Here is a 26725-nt window from a genome sequence, read left to right as displayed (position 1 = left end):
CAATGGCTCATAGTAGACGTTCAACACGCAAGTGGATTGGATAGATGGAAGGATAGATGGGTAGATGGAAAGTTGGATGGATGGATGGATGGATGGATGGATGGATGGATGGATGGATGGATAGGGATTTTGGAGGAAGAGGAGTGAGCAGTCACTGAAAAGAATAGAAAAATAATGAGGCTTGCTCCCTCTCCCTAGTCAGAAGAGCCAGTAAGCAGCTTAGAGCTTTAATCCCACAAATTGTCAGGCAGCTGGCGCAAGAACAGGGAAAAAGAGAGAGAGAGAGAGAGAGAGACCCTGTCTGTGGTAGGTTATGGTCATCAGTGAAAAAGAACAAAAACCTTTGTTTTAAAACTCTCCTCAAAACAGATGATTGGCTAGAGGGTGCGGCACAAAGGAACTTGTCAGGGTGATGGAGACATTCTGTATCTGGATTGAGCAATGCAAGAACCTGGGTAAAGACACAGTCATGGTAACAGCTGTATACATCTGTTGAAAACTCATCAAACTTATCATATTTAGAAAGGGTACATTTTGCTTCATGTAAAGTATGCCTCAATAAAGTGTACTTGATTTTAAAATCAGGATAAAGGAAAAAAACATTGATCTTGGATAATGGGCAGGGGTTGGGGAGAAGGTCTTAATTATCATCATATCCTTTTAAAAACGTTTTTCAAGTGTGTGATGCTCTGATGACATTCTTAAGACACAGCAAGGCAAAGCAGTATCCCAAATGAGAGAGTGAGCATTCCAATAAATATTTTCTGTAAGACACTGATATGTCTATGACTATTTGCTAAATTTAAAAATCAACTTGGACCATATTTACTCCCTTAAAGTCTAATAGACGACTAATTTCTTCTATGTTCAGAACAAATATGTTGCTACTTTAAGAACAGCATACATAGGTGTGGTCGGCCCTCTGTGTCTAAGGCTTCTGCATCTGTGGATTCAACCAACAATGGACTGAAAATATTCCAAAAATAAAATAAAATTAATGAAACAACAACAAAAATAAAACAAATAAAAAAATGCCAGGTAACAACTACTTACAAAGCATTTACATAGTATTAGGTGTTAGAAGTAATCAAGAGATGATTTAAATCACCATCTATGATTGGCTGATATGCATAGGTTATATGCAAATACTATGCCACTATATATAAAGGACTTGAACATTCGCAAATTTTGGTATCTGCAGGGGATTCTGGAACCAAACCCCATGGATACCAAGAGACAACTATATATAAAATACTGAAAGAGGCATGGAGAGTGATTTTCAGGCCTCTACCTAAAGCCCTGAATATTAGAAATTACTGAATTTCTTCTCAGGAAGGAAATTACGCCATAAACCAGTGTTGCCACACACCCAGAGAACAAGATGACCCGACGCCCCAGCCTGGTCATGCCACATGAGCTGAGCAGTGGGTAGGCCACTGAGCCAGTGATAGAAATCACAAATTACAAAACGTCAGAGTACTTTCTGGAAATAAGCCTTCCTCTCCAGGGAACAACGCATTTGACACTTGACTGGGATACACTACCGGATCCTCCGAGGGTGATGGTTCTCAAGAAGGCAGAAGCAATGGTGACCAATAGACCTCCTTAAAGGCTGAGCCGCTGGGCACCTTCCTACTCCTCTCGACCGTGCTAGGATGACTGCAGCAGAGTCCCCGAGTCCTTTGATGCAAGGGTCTAGGTGAGTTCGAAGGAGAGCCATACTAGGCCAGGCAGAAAGGCCCATGGTGATGGCTGTCCACCCTGGTCAGGGGAATTCTAGGTTCAGGCCATGCGGCAAGGTCACCTTGAGGGACATGCTTTGCTCTAAGCTCAGCTTAAGTGTGTCTGAACCCCCCTCACTTCTTCCAACTGCAGAAGCACATGGAGAAGGGGGAGAAAGGGTTGCCCACCTCCTAAAATGAGGGCAGCGTGGTGAAGAGCCCCATCATGCCCCACCAAGGTCCTGTGTGCAGGGCAGGGCAGTGCCTATCCAGAAGGCCAGACCTCTAACTGCTGCTCTGTAGGACGTCCGGGCCTCACATGCAGGCTCCTATAAGCTGGCTGTCTTGGCAAGAGGGCCCTGGTACAGCACTGTGTTCATCACAGAAAACCACACCGTACATAATTTGTAACAGACAGAAATGCATTTGGCTCATGGTTCTGGAGACTGGGAACCCAGGATGGAGGGGCCACATCTGGCAAGGGCCTTCTTGCCATGACATGGTGGAAGGTATCACAAGGTTGGGGAAGGAGGGGTGGGCGGGGCGGGAAGAGAGAGAGAGAGAACAAGAGAGAGAGAATCCATTCATAAGGGTGGAGCCCTCATGACTAAACACCTCCCATTAGGTCCCACCTCCCAACACTGTTGCTTTGGGGATTAAGTTTCCAGCTGGCTTTTTTCAAACCTTAGCAACCACCAAACAGACAAGCCCTTCGGCCTGTCCTGGAGGGCGTTGAATGGCATGGCCTGGAGCTCAACCAGGAGAACCGTGCTCAGGAGGAAGAGACCAGAAGGATAACTCAAAAAGTTCTGAGAAGTTCCTAAGACCACCTGAAGAGAAGGAGCCTGCTGCCAATGGTGTGGACACCGCAGTGTGCTTGAGGAGACTTCAGAAACGAGAACTGGTAGGAGAAGGGGGTTGCACAGACCCTTTCCTCAGTTAGGCACCCTCTGCTCCCACCCTCATGCCCACCCTGACATCAGGCTAAGGGAGAGGCGCTCATCCATTGACAGGTGCCAGGCTGTCCTGGGCCTGGCAAACCCTGGCCTTGTACACCCACTCTCCACACGTCTGCCCCCACCCTCCCAGGGGCAGGGCCGGGCTTCCCTGCAGAGACACAGGGCAAAGAGGGAGAGAGAAGGCCTCAGGCCAGGGCATGGCCTAGTGCCTCCCAGCGCCAGGTCCTGACAGCCTGAGAGAGCTGGAATCAAGGAAGGTGATCCTGGGCCCCAGACAGACGTCAGTGAGCTTCAGCCTCTGGTGGCTGCACACCAGCCAGGGCAGCAGCGCCCCCTCCTGCCTGTGTTCAGCTGTGTGGGCTGCAAGAGGACTAAGGAGAGTTTCAAGGAGGCAGGCAGTGGGGGAGGAAGTGTCCCAGGTAGAGGCTGAAGCTTTAAGGAGGATGGGAGGGGAGGCTTCACCCGGAAGGAGCTTTTGGAGCAAGGGCCTGAAGGAAATTGGGGAGAGAGCCTGAGTATCTTTGGTAACTGGGAAGAGAGCATTCCAAGCAAAGGGAAAAGAAGAGAGGCTGTCAGACAAGTGTGCACCCACCATGTCTGGGCACATCGAGAAGGACCCTGTGGCTGGAGGGGAGGAAGGAGGGGAGAATGGAAAGTGAGACCAGAGGTGACCTGACCAGGGCCTTCGGAGCCCCGGTGAGGGGCTCAGCGGGTGGGTGTCATGGGTGTGAAGAGGTAGGTCCCTCATCACCAGTCAGCAAAGCGTTCCCTGGGCTCAGCTGAAGTCCTGCTGGAGTGTGTGCCCCCTGGACTGGAGGGGATGGGATTGGTGGGAATAAAGTTGTGAGTTTGGAGTTGTGGTGAGCAGAGCACGAAGTGAGCCCCCAGCACTGCCACTTCCGCGTGAGGGGTGAACTGGCCCTGCACTCTCTCCCCTTGAGTGTGGGCAGGACAACCCTCTCTGCCTACAACGGCTCAGCACTCGTACTACTGTGGGACAGTGCTTCTGTGATTACGTTCCTTTATAGGAAAAATTGATTTTGCAGATGTAGGTAAGATCTGGACTCGTTTGACTTTGAGTTTATCAAGAAGGATGATTGACAGACACAGTGGCTACTTGAGAGTGGAGGGTGGGAGGAGAAAGAGGATCAGAAAAAAATAACTACTGGGTACTAGGTTTAGTACCTGGGTGACGAAATAATCTGTACAACAAACCCCCATGACACAAGTTTACCCCAATAATGAACCTGCACATGTACTCCTGAACCTAAAATAAAAGTTGAAAAAGGGGCCAGGCGTGGTGGCTCACGCCTGTAATCCCAGCACTTTGGGAGAGGCCGAGGCGGGCGGATCACGAGGTCAGGAGATCGAGACCATCCTGGCTAATGTGGTGAAACCCTGTCTCTACTAAAATTACAAAAAATTAGCCAGGCATGGTGGCAGGCACCTGTAGTCCCAGCTACTGGGGAGGCTGAGGCAGGAGAATGTCATGAACCTGGGAGGCGGAGCTTGCAGTGAGCTGAGACTGGGCCACTACACTCCAGCCTGGGTGACAGAGCGAGACTCTGTCTCAAAAACAAAAAAAAAGTTAAAAAAAAAAAAGAAGGAAGATTATCCTGATGGGCCTGACTCAATCAGGTGAACCCTGAGAGGACACTGGAGGGAGCAGTGGTGTCCCCTGCTGGCCTGGAGCTGCCACAAGGTGAGACTGGGGTGCCATGTGGCCAGGACTTGAGGGCAGCCTCTAGGAGCTGAGGATGGCCCCCGGCCAGCAGCCAGCAAGGAAGAGGACACCTCCGTCCTCCAACCACAAGGAAATGGATTCTACCAACACTACATGTGCTCTGGTGAGTTCTGCATTAGTTCAGATGAGACCACAGCTCTGGCTGTCACCTTGATTTCAACCTGGTGAGACCCTGAGCAGAGGCCCCAGCCAACCCGTACCTGCAGTTCTGACCCATGGAAACCGAGATGATGAATTTGGGTTGTTTTGACCCACAGAAACCAAGGTGATGAATTTGTGGTGTTTTTAAACCTCCACAAAGTAGTGTGAGAAAATACACAGTAGTTGTTTTATACCACTACATTTTTAGGTGGTTTGTTATCACACTGGATAATTAAAACACCAATTTAAATCTTTTCTCAGCTAATTTTGTACCATTAGTGAAGCATAAACACTCCAAACTATACTACTGTAGTAAAGAAAACCACCTGCTTCTATGTGTGAGAACACTTGGGTGAACATATCAATAAAAAGGGTGAAGAAGGGACTCTAGCTGTATTGCATTTTGCATCATTTATATTCACTTCTATGACTATTTTTTGTAATACTGTCCAATGACTGTGTCGTCTCTTTTTGCATGCTTTCTATTAAAAAATAATAGTGAAAATTAAAAAACCCCAGTCTGGGCGCGGTGGCTCATGCCTGTAATTCCAGCACTTTGGGAGGCCGAGGAGGGTGGATCACCTGAGGTCAGGAGTTCAAGACCAGCCTGGCCAATGTGGCAAAACCCCGTCTGTACTAAAAATACAAAAATTAGCCGAGTGTGATGGTGTGCGCCTGTAATCCCAGCTACTCCGGAAGCTGAGACAGGAGAATTGCTTGAATCCAGGAGGTGGAGTTTGCAGTGAGCTGAGATGGCGCCATTGCACTCCAGCCTGGGTGACAGAGCAAGACTCAGTCTAAATAAATAAATAAATAAAATAAAATATAAAACCCAGCCAGTGCAGTGGCTCACGCCTATAATCCCAGCACTTTGGAAAGCCGAGGCGGGCAGATTGCTTGAGCCCAGGAGTTGGAGACCAGCCTAGGCAACATGGTGAAACCTTGCCTCTACAGAAAAAAAAAAAAAAAAGCTAGGAGTGGTGGCATGCACCTATAGTCCCAGCTAATCTGGAGGCTGAGGTGGGAGAATTGCTTGAGCCCAGGAGGCAGAGTTTGTGTTGAGCTGAGATTGCACCACTGCACTCCAGCGTGGACCACAGAGCAAGACCCTGTCTCAAAAAAAAAAAGAACCCAACAGCAACAAACCATCTTGATTGTTCTGAAGTCTTTCAAGAGCAATCACCTCATAAATGTTCTTCCAGAAACACCAGCAAGCATGCATGAAACAAAGCAGCTAACCTAGAACTAAGGTAATGTGTTAAGCTCTTTGTGTGCCTCTGAAGAAAGACAGTGTATAATTCCAGGTAGTGGTGTCGTTATGCATGCTACTTGCTCTAGAAAGCATTCTAAAAGCCAGAGTAGAGGTCTTTGAAATGTTTGCAGAAGCATGCCACGGTTGCTAAGTCACTGGGACCCTCTCACCTCTCATATAAACTCCATTCTTATAATGCAGGGGACCGTTTAAAGCAAAGACATTGCAGTAAGCTGAATGTGACCTGCTCAAAAAACAGTCTCTCTTCTCTAGGTCCTTTCCTGTGCAAGGGACATTCTGGGGTACCCCGTCCCTCAGCCATCATTTAATCCCCCAGGAAAGATATTTGAGGCTGACTCGCAGGTTTGTGGTTATTTCTGTTGTCATTAGAGATGTGCTTTACTTCTTTCAGAAAGAAGTTCTGATGAGCTTACGGGACCTAGCCCCTTGTTTGTTTCACATTCATCCTTGTGTGTTATCCAGTTGTCTCTTAGGAACTTCAGAATTGCATATGAGCGTTTTCCCCTCCAAGCTTCCTGGTCTCAATGATGAGCACGCCTGTCCACACAGTGACTCAAGCTATGGCCATAAAAGGTGTCTCCTGTCTCCCTGTACCCGACTTCAGCCACTCTCAAGTCCTGGCCATTCTCTCTTCTATCTTTAGGAAATACTCTCATACTCCACCCCCAGAGCCATTCTCTTAATTCAGCCCCCATCATTTCTCACTTTATTATAAGCAAAGCTTCCCCCATTCCTTCTCTACGCTACTGTCAGAGCGAGCTTTTGAAAGCATCAAGTCTTCAAGCCTATGTCTGATCATCTTCGAAGACCAGTCTCAGCCTCCTAACATGCATCCATGTACCCTGGAAATTCTTTCTCACCTCCCGTGAAGACTGCAGGCATGACAGGGCGTCTGCAGTTCTCTGGGTGTGCCATGCGTCCCCTACCTCTGTGCCTTCACCTTCGATGCTTTCCTCTGACTTTCCAGCTTCAAATCATTCTTCAGGACCCTTCTTGAGCATCGTGTCCTTTGGGAAGCTTTGCCTGACATCTGCTCAATCCCACCAAGCAGAACTACATGTCTCTGCTCCGGGCTCCTGCAAAGCCACTGCATTCCCCAGCACAACTCTCACCAGACTGCAACAGTTGGCTTCCCTGCCCATCTCCCCAGCTAGTTTGCCAATGAGTTCAATGTATTTGTTTCTGATTTCTCAGCACCTAGCAGAATGCTTGGAATGAAATAGTCACTCAATAAATATTTATTAGATGTATTGCTTATAACTCAATTCAATTCCTTCTTCTTTAACTCTTTGTAGCTGCAGATCTCCCCTGGCAGTGCTAAGCCTGGCACTGTTGAGCAACACCAGGTCTGTCCCTTAGGTAATGGAACCTAAGGCAAAGTGGGTGACGCACATGAATATTTCACAGGGGCTCTTTTCTTGGTGGAGACAATGTAATGTGTTCACATATGGAAACTTGGGCCTGGCTTTCCCCACGTGCTGCCAGGATTGTCAGGATAGATTGGTTCTCATCCTCCATGCCCCCTGGCTGTGTTCAAATTGTGAGCTGCCTGATCTATGGGGCCAGTGGGGTTAAGCTGAAGCAAGAAACCACGGAGTGACAAGAAGACATTTCAAAGACGTGATTGGTCTAGAAACCCAGCAATTTTCCAAAAGCTTGTCCCCGTGGGATCTGTAGGGCCCAACTTGAAGAGCTGGGACAGAGGGGACATTCCTGAGTTCCCGGCCTGCAATATGGCTATAGCCACATAATTCTGAATGCACAATAGCACTTCATTCCCAAGGAATTCTCTGTAGGGACTCAAGAACAAAATAATCTCCTAATGTAGAGCATTTAACATACAAGCGCTTTTACAAGTCACCTGACAGTAGATGTCGAAGTAATTTCAAAATAATGTTCTATTTTAAAAATACTGTAGTTAAAAAACTTTTTCCCCCAGAGTCTATATTGCCTTGCTGTGTCATATAAGTTGCAATGACTTGGAGGCAGGACCTTTGCTTGTCCTGGGAGGTGGGATGACTCTAGAAGATGGCCCACGCCAGGTCTTCTTTAGGATCTAGTCTGGCCTCGTTTGAGCTACAGTAATGCATAAGGGTGTTTGTACTCACTTTATCTCCTTTTATTTCAAGCGAGGGGATCAAGTGTAGAAATCTGCGTGGGCCACTCAGGACACATCCACATGGCAACAGGAGGTGAGCAGCTTGTAGGGATTGCGGTGAGGATGAGAGGACATTTGTTTGCAGCCTGTGTCAGCTGGGCCTGCTCAGGTCTCTAAGACCTGGGCTTCAAGCCCCAATCCCACAGCTTTGGGGATGCCCTAAGCCTGGCATGATGCCCATTGATCCCTGCCTCACACTCTCCCTCCAGCCTCTGCCTCTCTTTTGGTCCACGCCTCCCAGGTAACAAAGTGTTGCTCCCTCATTGCTTTCCAAAAAAAAAAAGGTGATCAAGGTGGTCAGGCGTGGTGGCTCGCGCCTGTAATCTCAGTTCTTTGGGAGGCCGAGGCAAGTGGATCACCTGAGGTCAGGAGTTCCAGACCAGCCTGGCCAACATGGTGAAACCCCATCTCTACTAAAAATACAAAAGATTAGTCGGGTGTGGTGTCGGGTGCCTGTAATCCCAGCTACTTGGGAGGCTGAGGCAGAAGAATTGCTTGAACCCAGGAGGCGGAGGTTGCAGTGAGCCGAGATCACGCCATTGCACTCCAGCCTGGGTGACAGAGCAAGACTCTGTCTCAAAATAAATAAATAAATAGGAAAGACAGAAGATCTGTGTTCTTAGTTTTTGTTTAGTTCTTAATGCCTTAACTGAGATATAACTTGCATGTATACAATTCGCCCATTTAATGTGTATGATCAATGGTTTTTGGTCTATTCACAGATATGTGCAACCATCACTTCGGTCAGTTTTAGAACATTTTCATCACCTCCAAACAAAACTCCAAACCCTTTAGCTGTCACCTCCCATCTTCCTGCCCCTGCCCCCACCTCGCAAGCTGAGCCCTAAGTTCCCACTAATCTTCTTTCTGTTTCTATAGATTTCCCTATTCTGGACTTTCATATGAATGAATCACATAACAGGAGGTCTTTTGTGACTGGCTTCTTTCACTTAGCCTAACATACTTGAGGTTCATCCATGGTATATCAAGTATAAGTACTTCATCCCTTTTCATGACTAATATTCCATTGTCTGGATAGACCACATTGTGTCAGTTCATTCATCAGTTGATGAACATTTGGGTTTTGGCTACTATGAATAATGCTGCTATGCACATTTGTGTCCAAGTGTCCATGTGGACATGTACTTTCATTTCTCTCAGGGTATATATGTAGGAGTGGAATTGCTGAGTCCTGTGATAGCTCTGTGTTTAACATTTGGGGACCTGTTTTCCAAGGCAGCTGTACCGTTTTACATTGCCACCAGCAGCGTAGGAGTGTTCTGATCTCTCCACATCCTCCCAATACTTGTTCTCAGCCTTTTGTATTCTGGCCACCCTGGAGAGTATGAAGTGGTTTCTTATTGGGGTTTGGATTTGCATTTCCCTGATCACTAGAGATGTCAAGGATCTTTTCCTGTACTTATTGGCTATTAGGTTTGGTTTGAGAGGAAGGGTCTCATCCTGTGCAACATCCTACCTTCTCACTCTCCCAACTCCTCTTCCTCAACCTCTACCCTCTGGAATCCCTCAAACACACACCCGAGTCCAAAGTGTTCTCCCTCCACGACGGAGTGGTTGTCCTTTCCTCCGAAGGCCCTGTGCCCATTGATGTGGGGCCTAGGGACTGGGGATCTTTCCCATGTGAGCTCAGCTGACAGAGGCAGGACTTCACACACCAGCTGTTTAGGTGAACATTTCTCCATCTTCTCACATCTGTGTGACCGGACATGGGGGATGGTGCTTACTAGTGGGTAGCTGTGGGCATGTACATGTATTTGAATGTGTGTGCTTACTGGTTTGGGGTGCTACAAATTCACAAGGTGAGGTGCGCCTCCAAAAATTCAGAGGGAAGAAAAGGGTTTGGTGGCATATGTTGAAATTCTGGACCCCCAAACAGCCTACCTTTCATAAGAATCTACTTTGTTTAGAGTAAAACAGGTGGTTTCTAAAAAAGAAGGAAACTTTGAATGATGAGAAACTCACCCATGGCTGATGGCAGCTATAATATTGTGAAATACATATTTGGTCTTCATCCATGTTTCCTGATATACAGTTGAAGTCTCCAGAGTGATGAGTGTCTTTTGTATGCTAATGAGTAATGGGTGGATGAGTCCTCTAGGTAACTTCAGGATGGGAACTGGTCGTCCATAGACCAAGGCATGATTAGAGGGTTAGGACTTACAGCCCCACTTCCAAACTCCAGGGTGGGGAGAGAGGCTGAAAGTTAAGCTGATCACCAATGGCCCATGATGTAGTCAGTCATGCCTATATAATGAAGCTTCCATAAAAACCCAAAAGGGCTGAGTTTTGGGAGCTCTGGACAGCTGAACATGTGGAGCTTCCTGGAGGGTGGTCCCTAGGAGGGCATGGGAGCTTCTCAGCCCTTCCCACATACCTCATCCTGTGCCTCCCTTTCAGCTGGCTGTTTATTTTACCCTTTGTAATGTCCCTTATCATAAGGGATAAACATAAGCAAAGTGTTTCCCTGAATTCTGTGAGCTGCTCTAACAAATTAATTGAACCCAAGGAGGGGGTTGTAGGAACCTCAATTTGTAGCTGGTTGGTCAAAGGCACAGGTCACATCCTAGGGCTTGCAATTGGTGTGCAAGGTTGGGGAGAGTCTTATAGGACTAAGCCCTCACCCTGTGGGATTTGATGACATCTTTGGGTAGTTAGCATCAGAATTGAATTGAATTGCAGGACACCTCATTGGTGTGTGCTGCAGAATTGCTTTACTGATACGTGTGGGAAAAATCCCCATCTATCTGGTGCCAAAAGTGTGGTGCTGAGTGGTGAATGAGAACAAAGAGTAGGGAAAGCACTGTAGGCTTATGCTATCTCTAATAGAAGTCATGGTGAGCTCAGAGACTCTAAAGCCATGCTTAAGGGAAACTGCTGTGACTTAAAAAGAGTGTTGTGACCTCTGATCATGTGTCATTACCAGCCTTGGCTGAATTACAGGCTCAGGCCAGTTGCCTTAGCATGTCTTTGCACTTCACATGTGTCCACAGAGAACAACGGACAGTAAGTCTCCAATGCACTCATGTTGACTGATGGAGGAACAAATAGGTCAAGTCATCAGGTGGAGTCAGGTGAGTGAGTGCAGGTGCTGGAGATAGGCTCTCCTAATCATAGCCCAAGGTGAGCTCCATCCAGGTAGGCACAAGAGGGAATTATTAGGAATGACAAGGGCTCTAACGTAAGTCCACACCCATATAAAGGACAGGACATGTCTTGGGATGAAAAGCCAATCTAGGTTTTGGCTTTTATTCCTGATTGGTGTCAGAAGGTGAGAAACTAAAAAGCTGGGTGAATTTGGCAAATAGGCAAGTCATTTTCAGGCCAGTTCCTTCATCTGTTGGAATCATTCATTCATTTATTCACTCATTCTCTGAACAGTTACTGAGTACCAGCTAGGTGCCTGACACAGTGCTAAATACTAGTTATAGAGATGAATTGAAGTCCTTATAATCCAGTCAGGACTGGATTAGGAACCAAAAGGAAGGAGTAGACTACCCTTCTACCAAAGGGGGCCCAAGAAAAGCTCTATTAGCAAGGTGATGCTAATGTTGATTGTTGACAGATGGAAAGGTCTCTGATACATAGACCAAAAAAGGCAAGGTATTTTAGAGAGCTGGCACAACAGCAAAAGCATGCATGAATGCAGTCCATCTCCTCTGTCCCCAATACCCATGACATCAACATTCCTACACTAAGGTATGGGACTCCCAGGTCCCCACCCACTGGTTGGTGACAACACCAAGTTCAAAGCCCACCTTGGAGTCTAGTGATTCCCCAGGGCATACAGACAATGGTGCACATTGTTACTACAGTCCAGAGTGTAGCTGAGGTGCACCTTGACTGGAGATTAGCAGATGTCATTCTTTAACCTGCAGAAGTCCTGGACATTCAGCTGCAGAGTGAATGGGGGCCTGCTAGGGGTGAGATCATAGTATGGGGCTGGGTTCTTGTGTCTGGGCTTGTTTCTGGGCGCTGGCCTGGGGCCCATGTACTTAGAGCTTTGTTTTGTCTATCAACCCTTACACCCTCAGGTTCTGCTGGTTCTTCTCCCATACGCTAACCAACCACCACCTCTTGGACCCAAAAACTATAAACCTTCTCATCCACCTCTATCCTGCCCTTAGGGTCCTGCAAATCTATTTCTAGGTCCTAAAACCAATAGGGATGATATCATACTCTTTATCAGACAACTGAGCATCTACTTCTAAAATAATAGCAATGCTTGAGATGTGGGCATAAAAGTGTCTTCTCAGACTGATGGGTCACTGTCCCCACTTCCATGCTTGAAACCCCATCTCCATTCTCAATGGAGCCATGAATGTATACCTCAAGTTCTACTAGAAGAGTTGCCTGTCATCTTCTGCCTGAAGCAGACTGCTTCTGTGTTTAAGAAGGTGGAGACCCTTTTTCTATCAGTTTTCCTTTGAGCAGTAACTTACTATAGTGGATAACCTTGACTTACCCGGTCCTACTCTCTGCTGTAAAATGTACATAAGTAGAGTCCCTCAACCCTCTTCATGAGATTTCGGATGGTTCCAATGGTCAGCTCTTTTATGCTGATTGAGAAGTCCAACTTGCATAGCAGTGCAGCTTCATACCTGGCATTATACACACGCTTAATCCCACTTTTGCTGAAGAAAGAGACAGCATTGGCAGGCAGAACAAGTCCTGTAGCTTTGGGACAAAAGTGGCTGAGTCTTGAGTCTTGTCCCCAAAGGTCTTACCTTCCTTATCCACTCCAAAGCAGAAGTTGGCATGCAGTTGAGGCAACTAACCAAATATCGAGAGATAGGAGTTTTTCAGGTGTCCACCAATGGGAAACTGGTTGAAATGAATTTGAGTGAATTATGGTAGAGTCACATAGTGAAGTGCTATGCAGCCATAAGAAAGAAGAATAAAAAATGCCTGCCATTAACCACTATGGAATAATATCCAAGATATATTGTTAGTAGAAAAGGCCAAATACAGACAGTGCATATATGGTGTTATTTTTTGAAAAATAAGATTATATATGTGTGTACATATACATATTTGCTTATTGTAAAGAAACACTGGAAAGATAAGCCAAAAACCAATAAAAATGATTAACCATACAAGTGGGTAGGAATGGTGTAGAGGGATAGGGCTGGAAGAAAGAATTCTCTGTACTTTCAAAAATAGTTTTGACTTTTGAACCATGTAAGTGTTTTACATTATGCAAAACATAAATGAAATAAAAAAGATCAGAGAAAGCAGTCCAAAATTGTACACACAAAGAAATGAGGCCAACTATATATCAAACTGATAACATGGCAAAAAGAATCATTTTAAGAAACTGTCAAACGTGGCACTTGGGCTGCACAGCCTTAGTTGGATACTCTCTGGGAACAGAAAGTGTTACAAATAAGCTTTGCCCTTACTGGATTTATTGTTTGTAACAAAGCTATTATTATCATTTTGAGACTGCTATGTGAATGTTTTTGGATAGAACAAGAAAGTACTGTGTGTATATATATTAATCATATGTATGTGTATATATATGTATGTTATACAAACATGTTTTTAGGAAACATAATTTCCTTTGAAGGGGAAAATAGATACAATTATTAAATAAAATAAAGTTAAATAATAATTCAGTAATGTTAAATTTAAATTATAAATATCGGTGTCTTTGGGAAGCTTGAGCCCAGGAGTTCAAGACCAACCTGGGCAACATTGTGAGACCTTGTCTCTATAAAAAATAAAAATAAATTGCCAGGTTTTAAGAGGAAGATGACAGATAGGAGACAGGGCTACTGTTCAGCTCCCACTTGAATGGACAGACAGAGGAGTATGTGGAGACACAAAGCATGAACTTTTGTTCTAAGAACGACCACAGGAACGTACCAGGAAAACCAAAATAATTCACTGATCCTTTTAAAGAAGTGGCACACCGCTGCAAATTCCACAAGACAGGCAAAAAACTGTGCATTCCCAAAGTGTGAGAGGGAGAAAACCTGCCTCCAAGCACATATCCCCAATGGGGAACCTGAAAATCCAGATTACAGGAGAAGGATTTAACCGTATCTACAGCTGAAATGGATTTAGTACAAAATATTTTCTATAAAAGTAGAAGCAGCAGTGGGAAGAGCCTTGTAGACATTCCCATGCTCCAGCTTTAGCCCGGGGAAGCCATCTCTGACTCTATCTCACAGGGGTCCTTGAGAGAGGCAGCCAGTAGAATTAGCAGGGGCCACAGGGTGAAAGAAGCTTCCAAGTGAGCTTTGTAATAATTTCAACTGGGTGCAAATTCTCTTGAACAGAATCCGGAGGGCAAAAGGGAACTGCTACAGATAGGAGTGCAAAGCTGTGGCCAACAGGATGGGCAGACAGGGAAGGGCAAGGCCCGAAAGCTGTGCTTGCTTTCTCAGCAGGGAAGCTTATAGCCTGGGGCAAGGTCTGAGTCCAGAGCATAAGCTGCCCAGAGATAAACTTGGTGCTGTTAGTGGGATACAGAAGGAGCAAGATCGGCCCCACCAACTGTGTGGGAGCTGGGTGAGGCCTATTGCTTTCCCCTACTTCCCTGGTGACCTATATAATGCAACAGACGCAGCCATAATACCCCTTGGAACATAGCCCCATTGGCCTGAGAACCACATTCTCACCCCCGACAGTGGCTGTGGCAAGCCTTGCTCAAGGAGAGTCTGAGCCCAGACATGCCAAACTCTGCCCCCACATGATGGATATTTCTCTACCTGCCCTGGTAGTTGATCACAAAAGACATAAATTTTGGGGAGCTTTATGGCCCCACCCATCACCTGAGAAACCCAAATACTAATCCTGGCCAAATTCGGGCAAGCTTAGATCCCTCTACTACTACTGCAGCTGGTGTTCTCTTGAAAGCACCATCTCTTGGCTGGAGGCCAAGCAGCTCAGGACATTACAACAACTCATGACGGAATAACCCTGCTTCAAGGAAAGAGAAAACAACAGCTAATTCCACTGCCTGCAACATCCTGGCTAACCAGAGGTCTTGAATCTGTCCATGTGACAACTTCACTGTTAACATAACAAGCATTTGAGAAAGCCGTCACACTAAAGATATCTACAACCAAAGGCTCTCAGAGAGTCTACTTCATTCCCTGGCCACCTCCACGAGAGCAGGTGCTGGTAGCTATGGCTAGGAGACCTGAAAATGGATCACGTCACAGGACTCTTTGCAGACATTCCGCAGCACCAGCCCAGAGCCTGGTAACCCCACTGGGTGGCTAGACCCAGAAGAACAATTACAATTACTGCAGTCTGGCTCCCAGGAAGCCCCATCCCTAGGGGAAGGGGGAGAGCACCACATCAAGGGTCACCTGTGGGACAAAAGAATGTGAACAGCAGCCCTTGAGTTCCAGATCTTTCCATTGAAATATTCTCTTTGGTGAGCTCAAAGCTGACCAAATGAGAAGGAATCTGAAAATTAATTCTGGTAATATGACAAAACAAGGTTCTATAACACCCCTGAAAGATCACACTAGCTTCCCAGCAATGCATCCAAACCCAGAAGAAATCTAAATTGCCAGATAAAGAATTCAGAAGGTTGGTTATTAAGCTACTCAAGGAGATACCAGAAAAAGGTGAAAATGAACTTAAAGAAATTAAAAAGACAATACAGGATATGGATGAAAATTCTCCAGATAAATAGATATCATAAAGAAAAAACAGTCATAATTTCTGGAAATGGAAGACACACTTAGAGAAAGATAAAATGCACTGGAAAGTGTCAACAATAGATTAGAACAAGCAGACGAAAGAACTTCAGAGCTCGAAGGCAAGACTTTTGAATGAACCCAATCAGATAAAAACCAAAAAAAAGAAAAAAAAAGAATTTAAAAAATGAACAAAGCCCCCAAGAAATTTGGGATTATGTTAAACTGCCAAACCTAAGAATAATTGGTGTTCTTGAGTAAAAAGAGAAATCTAAAAGTGTGGAACTTATTTGAGGGAACAATTGAGGAAAACTTCCCTGGCCTTGCTAGAGACCTAGATATCAAACAAGCTCAAAGAATACCTGGGAAATTCATTGCAAATAGATCATCATCTAGGCATGTAGTCATCAGATTATCTAAAGTCAAGATGAAGGAAAGACTCTTAAGAGCTGTGAGGCAAAAGCATCAAGTAACCTATAAAGGAAAACCTATCAGATTAACAGCAGATTTCTCAGCAGAAACCCTATAAGCAAGAAGGAATTGGGGTCTTATCTTTAGCCTCCTCAAACAAAATAATTGTTAACCAAGAATTTTGTATCCAGGAAAATTAAGCTTCATAAATGAAAGAGAGATAAAGTCTTTTTCAGACAAATAAATGCTGAGATAATTTGCCACTCCCAAGCCAGCACCACAAGAAATGCTAAAAGGAGTTCTAAATCTTTAAACGAAACCTCAAAATACACCAAGATAGAACTTCCTTAAAGCATAAATCTCACAGGGCCTATAAAACAATACAAATAGAAAAAACAAACAACAACAACAACAGAAAAGTTATTCAGGCAACAACTAGCACAATGAATAGAACAGTACCTCACATCTCAGCACTAAAGTTGAATGTAAATGGCTTAAATGCTCCACTTAAAAGATACAGAATGGAAGAATAGATAAAAATCCATCAACCAAGTATCTGCCATCTTCAAGAGACTCACCAGACACATAAGGACTCACATAAACTTAAGGTAAAGGAATGGAAACAGATACTCCATGCAAATGGACACCAAAAGCAAGCAGGAGTAGCTATTCTTATATCAGACAAAACAGACTTTAACACAACAACAATTTAAAAAGACAAAGGGGGACATTATATAATGATAAAAGGATTGCTGCAACAGGAAAATATCACAATCCTAAATATATATGCACCCAACACTGGAGCTCTCAAATTTCTAAAACAATTATTACCAGACCTAAGAAATTAGATAGATGGCAACATGATAATAGTGGGGGATTTCAATACTCCACTGACAGCACTAGATGGATCATCAAGACAGGAAGTCAACAAAGAAACAATGAACTTAAACTATACCCTAGAACAAATGGACTTAACAGATATTTACAGAACATTCTACTCAACAACTGCAGAATAAACATTCTTTTCGTCAGCACATGGAATATTCTCCAAGATAGACCATATGATAGGCCACAAAAAACATCTCAATAAATTTAAGAAAACTGAAATTATACCAACTACCCTTTCAGACCGTGTGGAATAAAACTGGAAATGAACTCCAAAAGGAACCCTCAAAACTACACAAATACATGGAAATTAAGTAATCTGCTCCTGAATGACCTTTGGGTCAACCATGAAATCAAGACAGAAATTTAAACAGTATTTGAACTGGGTCAGGTGTGGTGGCTCACTCCTGTAATCCCAGCACTTTGGGAGGCCAAGGCGGGTGGATCACGAGGTCAGGAGATCAAGACCATCCTGGCTAACACGGTGAAACCCTGTCTCTACTAAAAATAGAAAAAATTAGACGGGAGTGGTGGCAGGCGCCTGTAGTCTCAGCTACTCAGGAAGCTGAGGCAGGAGAATGGTGTGAACCTGGGAGGCGGAGCTTGCACTGAGCCGAGATGAGCCACTGCACTCCAGCCTGGGCCACAGAGTGAGACTCCATCTAAAAAAGAAAAAAAAAAGTATTTGAGCTGAACCTCTGGGATACAGAAAAAGCAGTGCTAAGAAAAATTTCATAGCATTAAATGCCTACATGAAAATGTCTGAAAGAGCACAAATAGACAATCTAAGGTCACACCCTCAAGGAACTAGAGAAACAAGAACAAACTAAACTCAAACCCAGCAGAAGAAAAGAAATAACAAAGATCATAGCAGAACTAAATGAAATGTAAACAACAACATTAACAAAAAGATAAGTGAAACAAAAAAGATGATTCTTTGAAAAGATAAACAAAATTGATAGACCATTAGCGAGATTAACCAAGAAAAGGAGAGAGAAGATCCAAATAAGCTCAATTAGAAACAAAACAGAAGCTATTACAACTGACACCACAGAAATACAAAAGATCATGCAAGGCTACTATGAATACCTTTACACACACAAACTAGAAAATGTAGAAGAATGGATAAATTCCTGGAAATATACAACCCTCCTATATTAAATCAGGAATAAACAGAAACTTTGAACAGACCAATAACAAGTAGCAAGATAAAAACAATAATACAAAAATTCCCAACAAAAAAAAAAGTCCAGGACCAGATGGATTCACAGCTAAATTCTATCAGCTATTCAAAGAATTGGTACCAATCTTACTGAAACTATTCCAAAAGATAGAGAAAGAGGGACTCATCCTTAAATCATTCTGTGAAACCAGTATCATCCTAATGCCAAAACTAGGAAAGGACATAACAAAAAGAAAAACTACAGACCAATATCCCTGATGAACATAGGTGCAAAAATCCTCAACAAAATATTAGCTAACCGAATCCAACAGCATATCAAAAAAGATAATACACCATGATCAAGTAGTGTATTAAGATATAAAGATATATCATCATGTATAAAGATAAACACCATGATCAAGTGGGTTTCATACAAGGGATGCAAGGATGGTTTAACATACATGAGTCAATAAATGTGATACATCACATAAACAGAATTAAAAACTAAAATCATGTGATCATCTCAATAGATGCAGGAAAAGCATTTGACAAAATCCAGCATCTTTTTATGATTAAAACCCTCAGCAAAATTGGCATAGAAGGGACACACCTTAAGGTAATAAAAGCCGTCTATGACAAACCCACAGCCAACATTATACTGAATAGGGAAAAGTTGAAATCATTCCCCCTGAGAATTGGAACAAGACAAGGATGCCTACTTTCACCACTTCTATTCAACATAGTACTGGAAGTCCTAGACAGAGCAGTAAGACAAGAAAAAGAAATAAAGGGCATCTAAATCAATAAAGAGGAAGTCAAACTGCTGTTCACCAGTGATATGATTGTATACCTAGAAAACCCTAAAGACTCATCCAGAAAGCTTCTAGATCTGATAAATGAATTCAGTAAAGTTTCGGAATACAAAATCAATGTACACAAATCAGTAACACTGCTATATACCAACAATGACCAAGCTGAGAATCAAATCAAGAACTCAACCCCTTTTACAAAAGCTGCAATAATAATAATAATAAAGTACTTAGGAATATACCTAACCAAGGAGGTGAAAGATCTCTACAAGGAAAACTACAAAACACTGCTGAAAGAAATCTTAGACAACACAAACAAATGAAAACACATCTCATGTTGATGGATGGGTAGAATCAATATTGTGCAAATGACCAGACTGCCAAAAGCAATCTACAAATTCAATGCAATTCCCATCAAAATACCATCATCATTCTTCACAGAACTAGAAAAAAAAATCCTAAAATTCATATGGAACAAAAAAAGAGCCCACATAGCTGAAACAAGACTAAGCAAAAAGAACAAATCTGGAGGTATCATATTACCTGACTTCAAACTATACTATAAGGGTATAGTTACCAAAACAGCATGGTACTTGTATAAAAATAGTCATGTAGACCAGTAGAACAGAATAGAGAACCCAGAAATAAAGCCAAATATTTACAGCCTATGGATCTTCGACAAAGCAAACAAAAACATAAAGTGGGGAAAGGACACCCTGTTCAACAAATGGTGCTGGGATAATTGGCAAGCCACATGTAAAAGAATGAAACTGGATCCTCATCTGTCTCCTTATACAAAAATCAACTCAAGATGGATCAAAGACTTAAAACTAAGACCTGAAACCATAACAATTCTAGAAGATAACATTGGCAAAACTCTTCTAGACATTGGCTTAGGCAAAGTGTTCATGACCAAGAACCCAAAAGCAAATGTAACAAAGACAAAGATAAATATATGGGACCTAATTAAACTAAATAGCTTCTGCACAACAAAAGAAACAATCAGCAGAGTAAACAGACAACCCACAGAGGGGGAGAAAATCTTCATAAACTATTCATCCAACAAAGAACTAATATCCAGAATCTACAAGGAACTCAAATCAGCAACAAAACAAAACAAAACAAAAAATAATACCCTCAAAAAAGTGGGCAAAGGAAATGAATACACAATTCTCAAAAGAAGAAATACAAATGGCCAATAAACATATAAAAAAAGCTTGACATCGCTAATTATCAGGGAAATGCAAATCGAAACCACAATGAGAACCACGTTACTCCTGCAAGAATGGCCATAATTAAAAAATAAAAAAATAACAGATGTTGGCATAGATGTGGTGAAAAGGAACACTTACACTGCTGGTAGGAATGCAAACTACTGCAACCACTATGGAAAACAGTGCGGAAATTCCTTTAAAAACTAAAAGTAGAACTACCATTTGATCCAACAGTTCCACTACTGGGGACCTACTCAGAGGAAAAGAAGTCATTATACAAAAAAGACACTTACACATGCATGTTTATAGCAGCAAAATTCACAATTACAAAAATATGGAACCAGCCTAAATGCCCATCAACCAATGAGTGGACAAAGAAAATGTGGCATATATACACCATGGAATACCACTCAGCCTTAAGAAGGAACAAAATAATGGCATTCACAGCAACAGTAACCTGGATGGAGTTGGAGACCATTATTCAAAGTGAAGTAACTCAAGAATAGAAAACCAAACATTGTATGTTCTCACTTATAAGTGGGAGCTAAGCTATGAGGACGCAAAGGCATAAGAATGATATAATGGACTTTGGGGACTCAGGGGGAAGGGTGGGAGGGGGTTGAGGGAAAAAAAGGCTACACATTGGGTACAGTGTACACTGCTTGGGTGACAGGTTCACCAAAACATCAGAAATCACCACTAAAGAACTTATCCAAGTAACCAAACATGACCAGTTCCCCAAAAACTATTGAAATAAAAAAAAACAAGAAATGTCAGTGTGAATTCATAAGTACACGTATGTATGTGTGTGTCTGTAATTAATTTCAGTCAAAGAGCCTAGAAGTCATAACATTGTAATAGCAATGGGCACACCTCATGCCTTGAACTTGGTATCTAAGTACCATTCCCCAGGAAAGGGAACCAGGGATCCTCATTGAACCGGCTGATTACAAGTCAAAAGCAGGTAAATTACAAGTTGAGCCTAGGACACCTTATTGTACCAGAAAATAAGGAAATCACGGACTAATGGGATCATGTCAAACGAACAGCAGAGGCAGCTTGAAGAGGGTCCCACCGGCCAAATTGAGATTAAGTATCAGAAATAATAATGATGGCAGTTGACATTGAGTTATAAAGAAATCCATGAATTCACAGTGATACTCAAAAAAAAAGAAAAAGGAACAGAGAGAGAAAAGAGAACTCTTCTTTAGGGAAGACTTCCTCCAATAAATGTAGAAAAAAGATATACATTTATTGCAACCCTCAAAGAAGAAATAGATTCAGGGAAGCACCTTCAGTGGATGCCAAACCTTATTGGGTGAAAGGTTGTTGAGGAACAGGATGTCAAAGTATAATTCAACAAATTACAGTATTTACTAATTTTGAGAAGGAAAATGCACGTTTACTATGAAAGATACGGTGACTGTCACCTTCCCTAAATTATCAAAGTGAGCAATGCCAGCAGGGATGGGCTGTCATCATGTGTCCTGATGGGATCCATCTGTTGTATTAGTTAGGGTTCTCTAGAGGGGCAGAACTAATGGAATGAATATATATATATGAGTTTATTAAGTATTAACTCACATAATCACAAGGTCCCACAATAAGCTATCTGCAGGCTGAGGAGCAAGGAGAGCCAGTCTCTGAGAGCAGGGAGATCCAAACTGAAGAACTTGTAGTCCGATGTTTGAGGGCAGGAAGCATCCAGCACGAGACAAAGATGTAGGCTGGGAGGCTGGGACAGTCTCTTTTCACATTTTCTGCCTGCTTATATTCTAGCTGCACTAGCAGCTAATGGTGCCCACCCAGATTAAGAGTGGGTCTGCCTTTCCCACCCTTCTGACTCAGACGTTAATCTCCTTTGGCAACAACCTCACAAACAAACCCAGGATCAATACTTTGTATCCTTCAATCCAATCGGGTTGACACTCAGTATTAACCATCACACCTGTGAAGGATTCTTCTCATGAGCCCAGTTCAGCCTTTAGATCCACATCCAGTTACAGGAAATACAGAGGAGAGAAGGACAAGTCAAGGAGGCCCTGACGAAGCTGTCTGACAAAGCTAGAATGAGGGATGTTCTACAAGACAGTTGAGCCAAACTCCAAAAAGTCATCACAAATTCAAAAAAAAAACAAAACCTAAACTTAAAACCTCTGTAAGGTCATCTGATTGGAAGGACTCACATAAAATTGCAAAGGACGCTGTCTTCTCTTTGCTAGTTGAACCCGCTACTACATGTGCCTCTCCATACTGTTCTAGACCAGCGTTTATCATGTTTCACAGCCTCTCTTGGTCCCAATGATGGAGATCCCCGTTCCTCTCCACTATGTTCATCAACCAATTTGGTGTTCTCTTGAAGGGTAGGAAGGTCTCAACAGAGACTGTTGGCTCTTGTTAGGGGTGCCTTTTTTTTTTTTTTTTTTTTTTTTTTAAGATGGAGTCTCGGACTATTGCCCTGGCTGGAGTGCAGTGGCACAGTCTCGGCTCCCTGCAACCTCCACCTCACAGGTTCAAGCAATTCGCCTGCCTCAGCCTCCGTAGTAGCTGGGATTACAGGCACCCACCACCACTCCCAGCTAATTTTTATGTGTGTGTGTGTGTGTGTGTTTTTAGCAGAGACGGGGTTACACTATGTTGGCCAGGCTGGTCTCGAACTCCTGACCTTGTGATCCACCCACCTCAGCCTCCCAAAGTGCTGGGATTACAGGAGTGAGCCACCGCGCCCAGCCGTTTAGGGGTGCTTTTATATGGGAGAAACAGCCTGGTTGCACATAAATTTAAAACAACTAAGGCAAGCACCCATATGTAATGAGAATCTCCACTCCTTTCTGTCCAAAGGCTGAGTGCACCAGAATACTTCAATCTGAGAAAGAAAAAAAACCTTTATCTGAGGAATGTGAGCCCTTTAAATCATCAGGCCCAGAAAGGCATTTAAAATGTGACCACAATCAGGTCTCACTCTCCCTGGAACTGAATAATGACCTCTTGAAGCCACTTGCTATGTGGGCTGCAGATGAATGCCAAGTTGCAACAATGTATAGCCAATCACTAACCAATGTTATTTCTGTAAACTAATGAAAATTCCTGATGAGCAGCTTTCGTAATTGCTTCTCTCATGATTCTTCCTTTTTTCTTTAAAAACTTGAGGCTCTTCTTTGTCCTCCAGAGCACTCCCCAAGGCAACTTGGAAGTGCATCCATGGCTGCAGCTCTCAACCTTGGCCCAAATAAACTCTCTATATTAATTCTGCCTTTGCTTCTTCCTTTTAGGTTGACATTTCCATCTCTAGAGACTGGATACTCTCCCTCCTGACAGGTGCCTGATGACTCTCTTGTATTTAGAAGTGGCCCTTCCTATCTCTGGCATATTTCCTCCCCAAGGGTGGGGTGTTCCTGGGATGATGTTGAGGTATGCTAGGACTTGCTGCTGTTGCGGAAATTTAAAATAAAATCTGCCAATCTAGAAAACCTGTCCAAAAATATACGAAATGAAAAAAAGTGTTATTATTACATATGCATTAAACCAGATTGCAACACACATCAAAAGCAATCCACTAAAGAAATTGCAAAGACAGAAAAAATGTATCACCCTCTTACATAGCCAGGCAGATAGAATCTATTACATATGTGTTAATTGCACTCATCCAAAGGAAGAAGAAAACTCTCATATGCTACAACTTGTAGCCAGACTCCTAGGCAAAGCTCCCAGAGAGACAGGAGACAGGGCACCATCCATCTTAATGTTCACATTTCAAAGAGATGGCTCCGAGGCCCCCGAGAAGCACATTCCTGGGAAGCCAAAGTGGCAAAGGGCTTGTTTAGCTTTCAGAAAGGTTTATATACCTCCCAAAGAGACAGAGAAAGGATTATAAAGGAAATACTCTAAGAAAAGGGAGGGAGGGACTTCTCTTTGCCTTTTGGCACCAGGGAAAATTCAATTTCTTTTTACTTGTACTTACCCTTATACTGCCTAGGAAATTAAGGAGAAGTTGAGGGTCCACTGAGTGGCAGGGCTGCCAGAGAATGGTTTCCCAGCCCAGTGCTGGAAGAGCTCCTATCTCCCAGGCGAGCTGGACCTCCCTTTCCCTGCCACTGACTCTTCCTCCTCCTGAGCTACTGGCCAGCCCTGGAGCGGCTGTCTCATAAGCTCTTACAAATGAGATGGAGCAGGGACCCCTCTTAGGGGCCTGGTCTCCCCAGCACCAAACAGAGGAATTAAAAAATCTTGAGTTTCTTAAAGGGAAATTCCAGGCACCTAGCTAGCCTGAGAAGTAAATGAACAACTTGATAAGCAAGAGAGTAATAGTAGCTTAAAACAATAATCATGGAAGTGAGAATCATGGGATGTTTGGCTCCCTGTAAAAACTAAAGATAACATCTTTTTTTGTTTGTTTGATTTTGTTTTGTTTTGAGACAGGGTCTCACTCTGTTGCCCAGGCTGGAGTGCAGTGGTGCAATCATGACTCACTGCATCCTTGATCTGAGGGCTCAAGCAATCCTCCCATCTCAGCTCTGTCAGTAGCTGGGACCACAGGCACATGCCACCACAACTTGTTAATTTTTGTATTTTTTTTTTTTTTTGTAGAGGCAGGGTTTCGTCATGTTGCCCACACTGGTCAAACTACTAGGCTCGAGCAATCTGCCTACCACAGTCTCCCAAAGTATTGAGATTACAGTCGTAAGCCACCATGCCCAGCCAAAGATAGCATCTTAAAGATAGCAGCAGGAGACAGACAAATTCCCAGGCAGATTGGGGTGGGTCCCCCATGAAACCCAACCTCCAAGCCAAAGACAGCCTGAAGCCTGAAAACCAGGCTGTCAGTTCTGGATGGAGTCCATGACCAGAATGAGAACTTCTATTTTCATTTGCCTGCTCTTTCCCAATTGGTTCTTTCTGAATAATGCTTTTTAACCAATCAAGTGTTGCCTTTTCCAAGGCTATGGATAGCTGACACCTCCCACATTCTGAGCCCATAAAAACTGGAGAGACTCAGCCACACATTGAGACTACCTACCTTCAGCTCCCCTCTCTGCTGAGAGCTGTTTTGTTGCTCAATAAAGCTCTTCTCTGCCTTGCTCACTCTCCAGTTGTCAGCATAATCTCATTCTTCATGGACATGGGACAAGAACCCAGGACCCACCAAACAGTGGGTGCAAAAGTAGCTGCTGTAACACTGTAGCCCTCCCACCCTCCGCCAGTGCTGGGCATCCGTCCCACGTGATGGGAAATGGCAGCAGGGCCGGGCCTTCCCAGGAGCCACAAGCTAGAGCAGGGCAGCAGGACTGAATGAGCTGTTAACATACCCCCATTTTCTGCACTGTGAGTGGCGGGAAGGAGAAAAGAGCTGCAACCCTTCTGGACATCTAGACCTCAGAGCTTCTGGAGCCAGTGCTGTGACATGATGTAACACCCCCTTTGGGGCTTCACAGGTGCTGGCATCTCCAAGTTTTTGGGTGCCACTGTGTTCCCCTAGTCTGGATGCCAGCACCTGGAGCTGCTCATTCCATTGCAGCAGCTGATGCACCTGACTGTGCACAGTAACTGGACCCTGCAAACTTGCCACTCCACACCTGGCTCACCTGTGGTGGCTGGTAGGGTGAGCTGGGTGCAGCCTGCTGGGCCAACTGGATGGAGCAAGGCCAGAGGCCAGCTCAGAGCTGAGTGAGGCCCAGGCAGGGGTGCAGCCAGCTGCAGAGGTCTCTGGCTGGTGAAGTGGCACCCCAAAAAAGTCCTGTGCCATTAACATATGTCCCAGAGTTGTTTCAGAAACCTGGACCCCCACCAATGGATCCACCAAATGGATCCACTGACACATAGACTTCAGATAAAGAGGAATTGAGGACTGAATTCTGACTGCCATTCTTTGTTCTAAATTTCTCCCTGGGGAGCCTGGAGGAAGTCACACCCATGAGCCAGAGCTGACATTCTTTTCTACTGATCCCACAGTTTTAGACAAAGCTTTGCCTCACCTATGACCTGTGGGCCCACTTCAAGATGTTCCACCTTTCTAGGTTAAACCAATGTATAACCTCCATGATTTCTTATTTTGCCTGTAACCTCTGCCTCCTGCCTTTAAAACCCTTACCTGTGGCCGGGCACAGTGGCTTATGCCTATAATCACAGCACTTTGGGAGGCCGAGGCGGGTGGATTGCCTGAGGTCAGGAGTTTGAGACCATCCTGGCCAACATGGTTAAACCCCGTCTCTACTAAAAATACAAAAATTAGCCGGGTGTGGTGGCAGGCACCTGAAGTCCCAGCTATTCAGGAGGCTGAGGCAGAAGAATCACTTGAACCCAGGAGGTGGAGCTTAAAGTGAGCCAAGATTGTGCCACTGCCCTCCAGCCTTGGCGACAGAGCGAGACTCCGTCTCAAAAAAAACAGAACAAAACAAAAAGCAAAACAAAAAAAATGACGAGTTAATGGGTGCAGCACACCAACATGGCACATGTATACATATGTAACAAACCTGCCCATTGTGCACATGTACCCTAGAACTTAAATAAAAATACATATATATATTAAAAAAAAAAAAACCCTTACCTGCAAGCTATTGTGGAGGTCAGGAGTT

At 44.0% G+C, this 26725-nt stretch overlaps 1 protein-coding gene across 5 annotated transcripts in view; it reads left to right on the top strand.

Annotated features, from left to right (window-relative positions):
• Positions 1516–26725, top strand: part of KCNE1 (potassium voltage-gated channel subfamily E regulatory subunit 1) — a 65523-nt gene continuing 40313 nt past the window's right edge. For 2 of the 5 annotated variants that reach the window (XM_047440764.1, NM_000219.6), the window contains exons 1-2: positions 1516–1699; positions 2411–2625. The gene's annotated coding sequence lies outside the window, so the exon portion shown is untranslated. Of the gene's footprint in view, positions 1700–2401; positions 2626–26725 lie in introns of those variants that run through there. The other 3 variants (NM_001270404.3, NM_001270402.3, NM_001270403.2) reach the window with 2 other exon arrangements.

Source organism: Homo sapiens, chromosome 21 (assembly GCF_000001405.40).
Source record: "Homo sapiens chromosome 21, GRCh38.p14 Primary Assembly".
Classification (NCBI taxonomy): Eukaryota; Metazoa; Chordata; class Mammalia; order Primates; family Hominidae; genus Homo; species Homo sapiens.
Note: the sequence above shows the minus strand (reverse complement) of the source record. Positions and strands in the feature narration are given on the sequence as shown.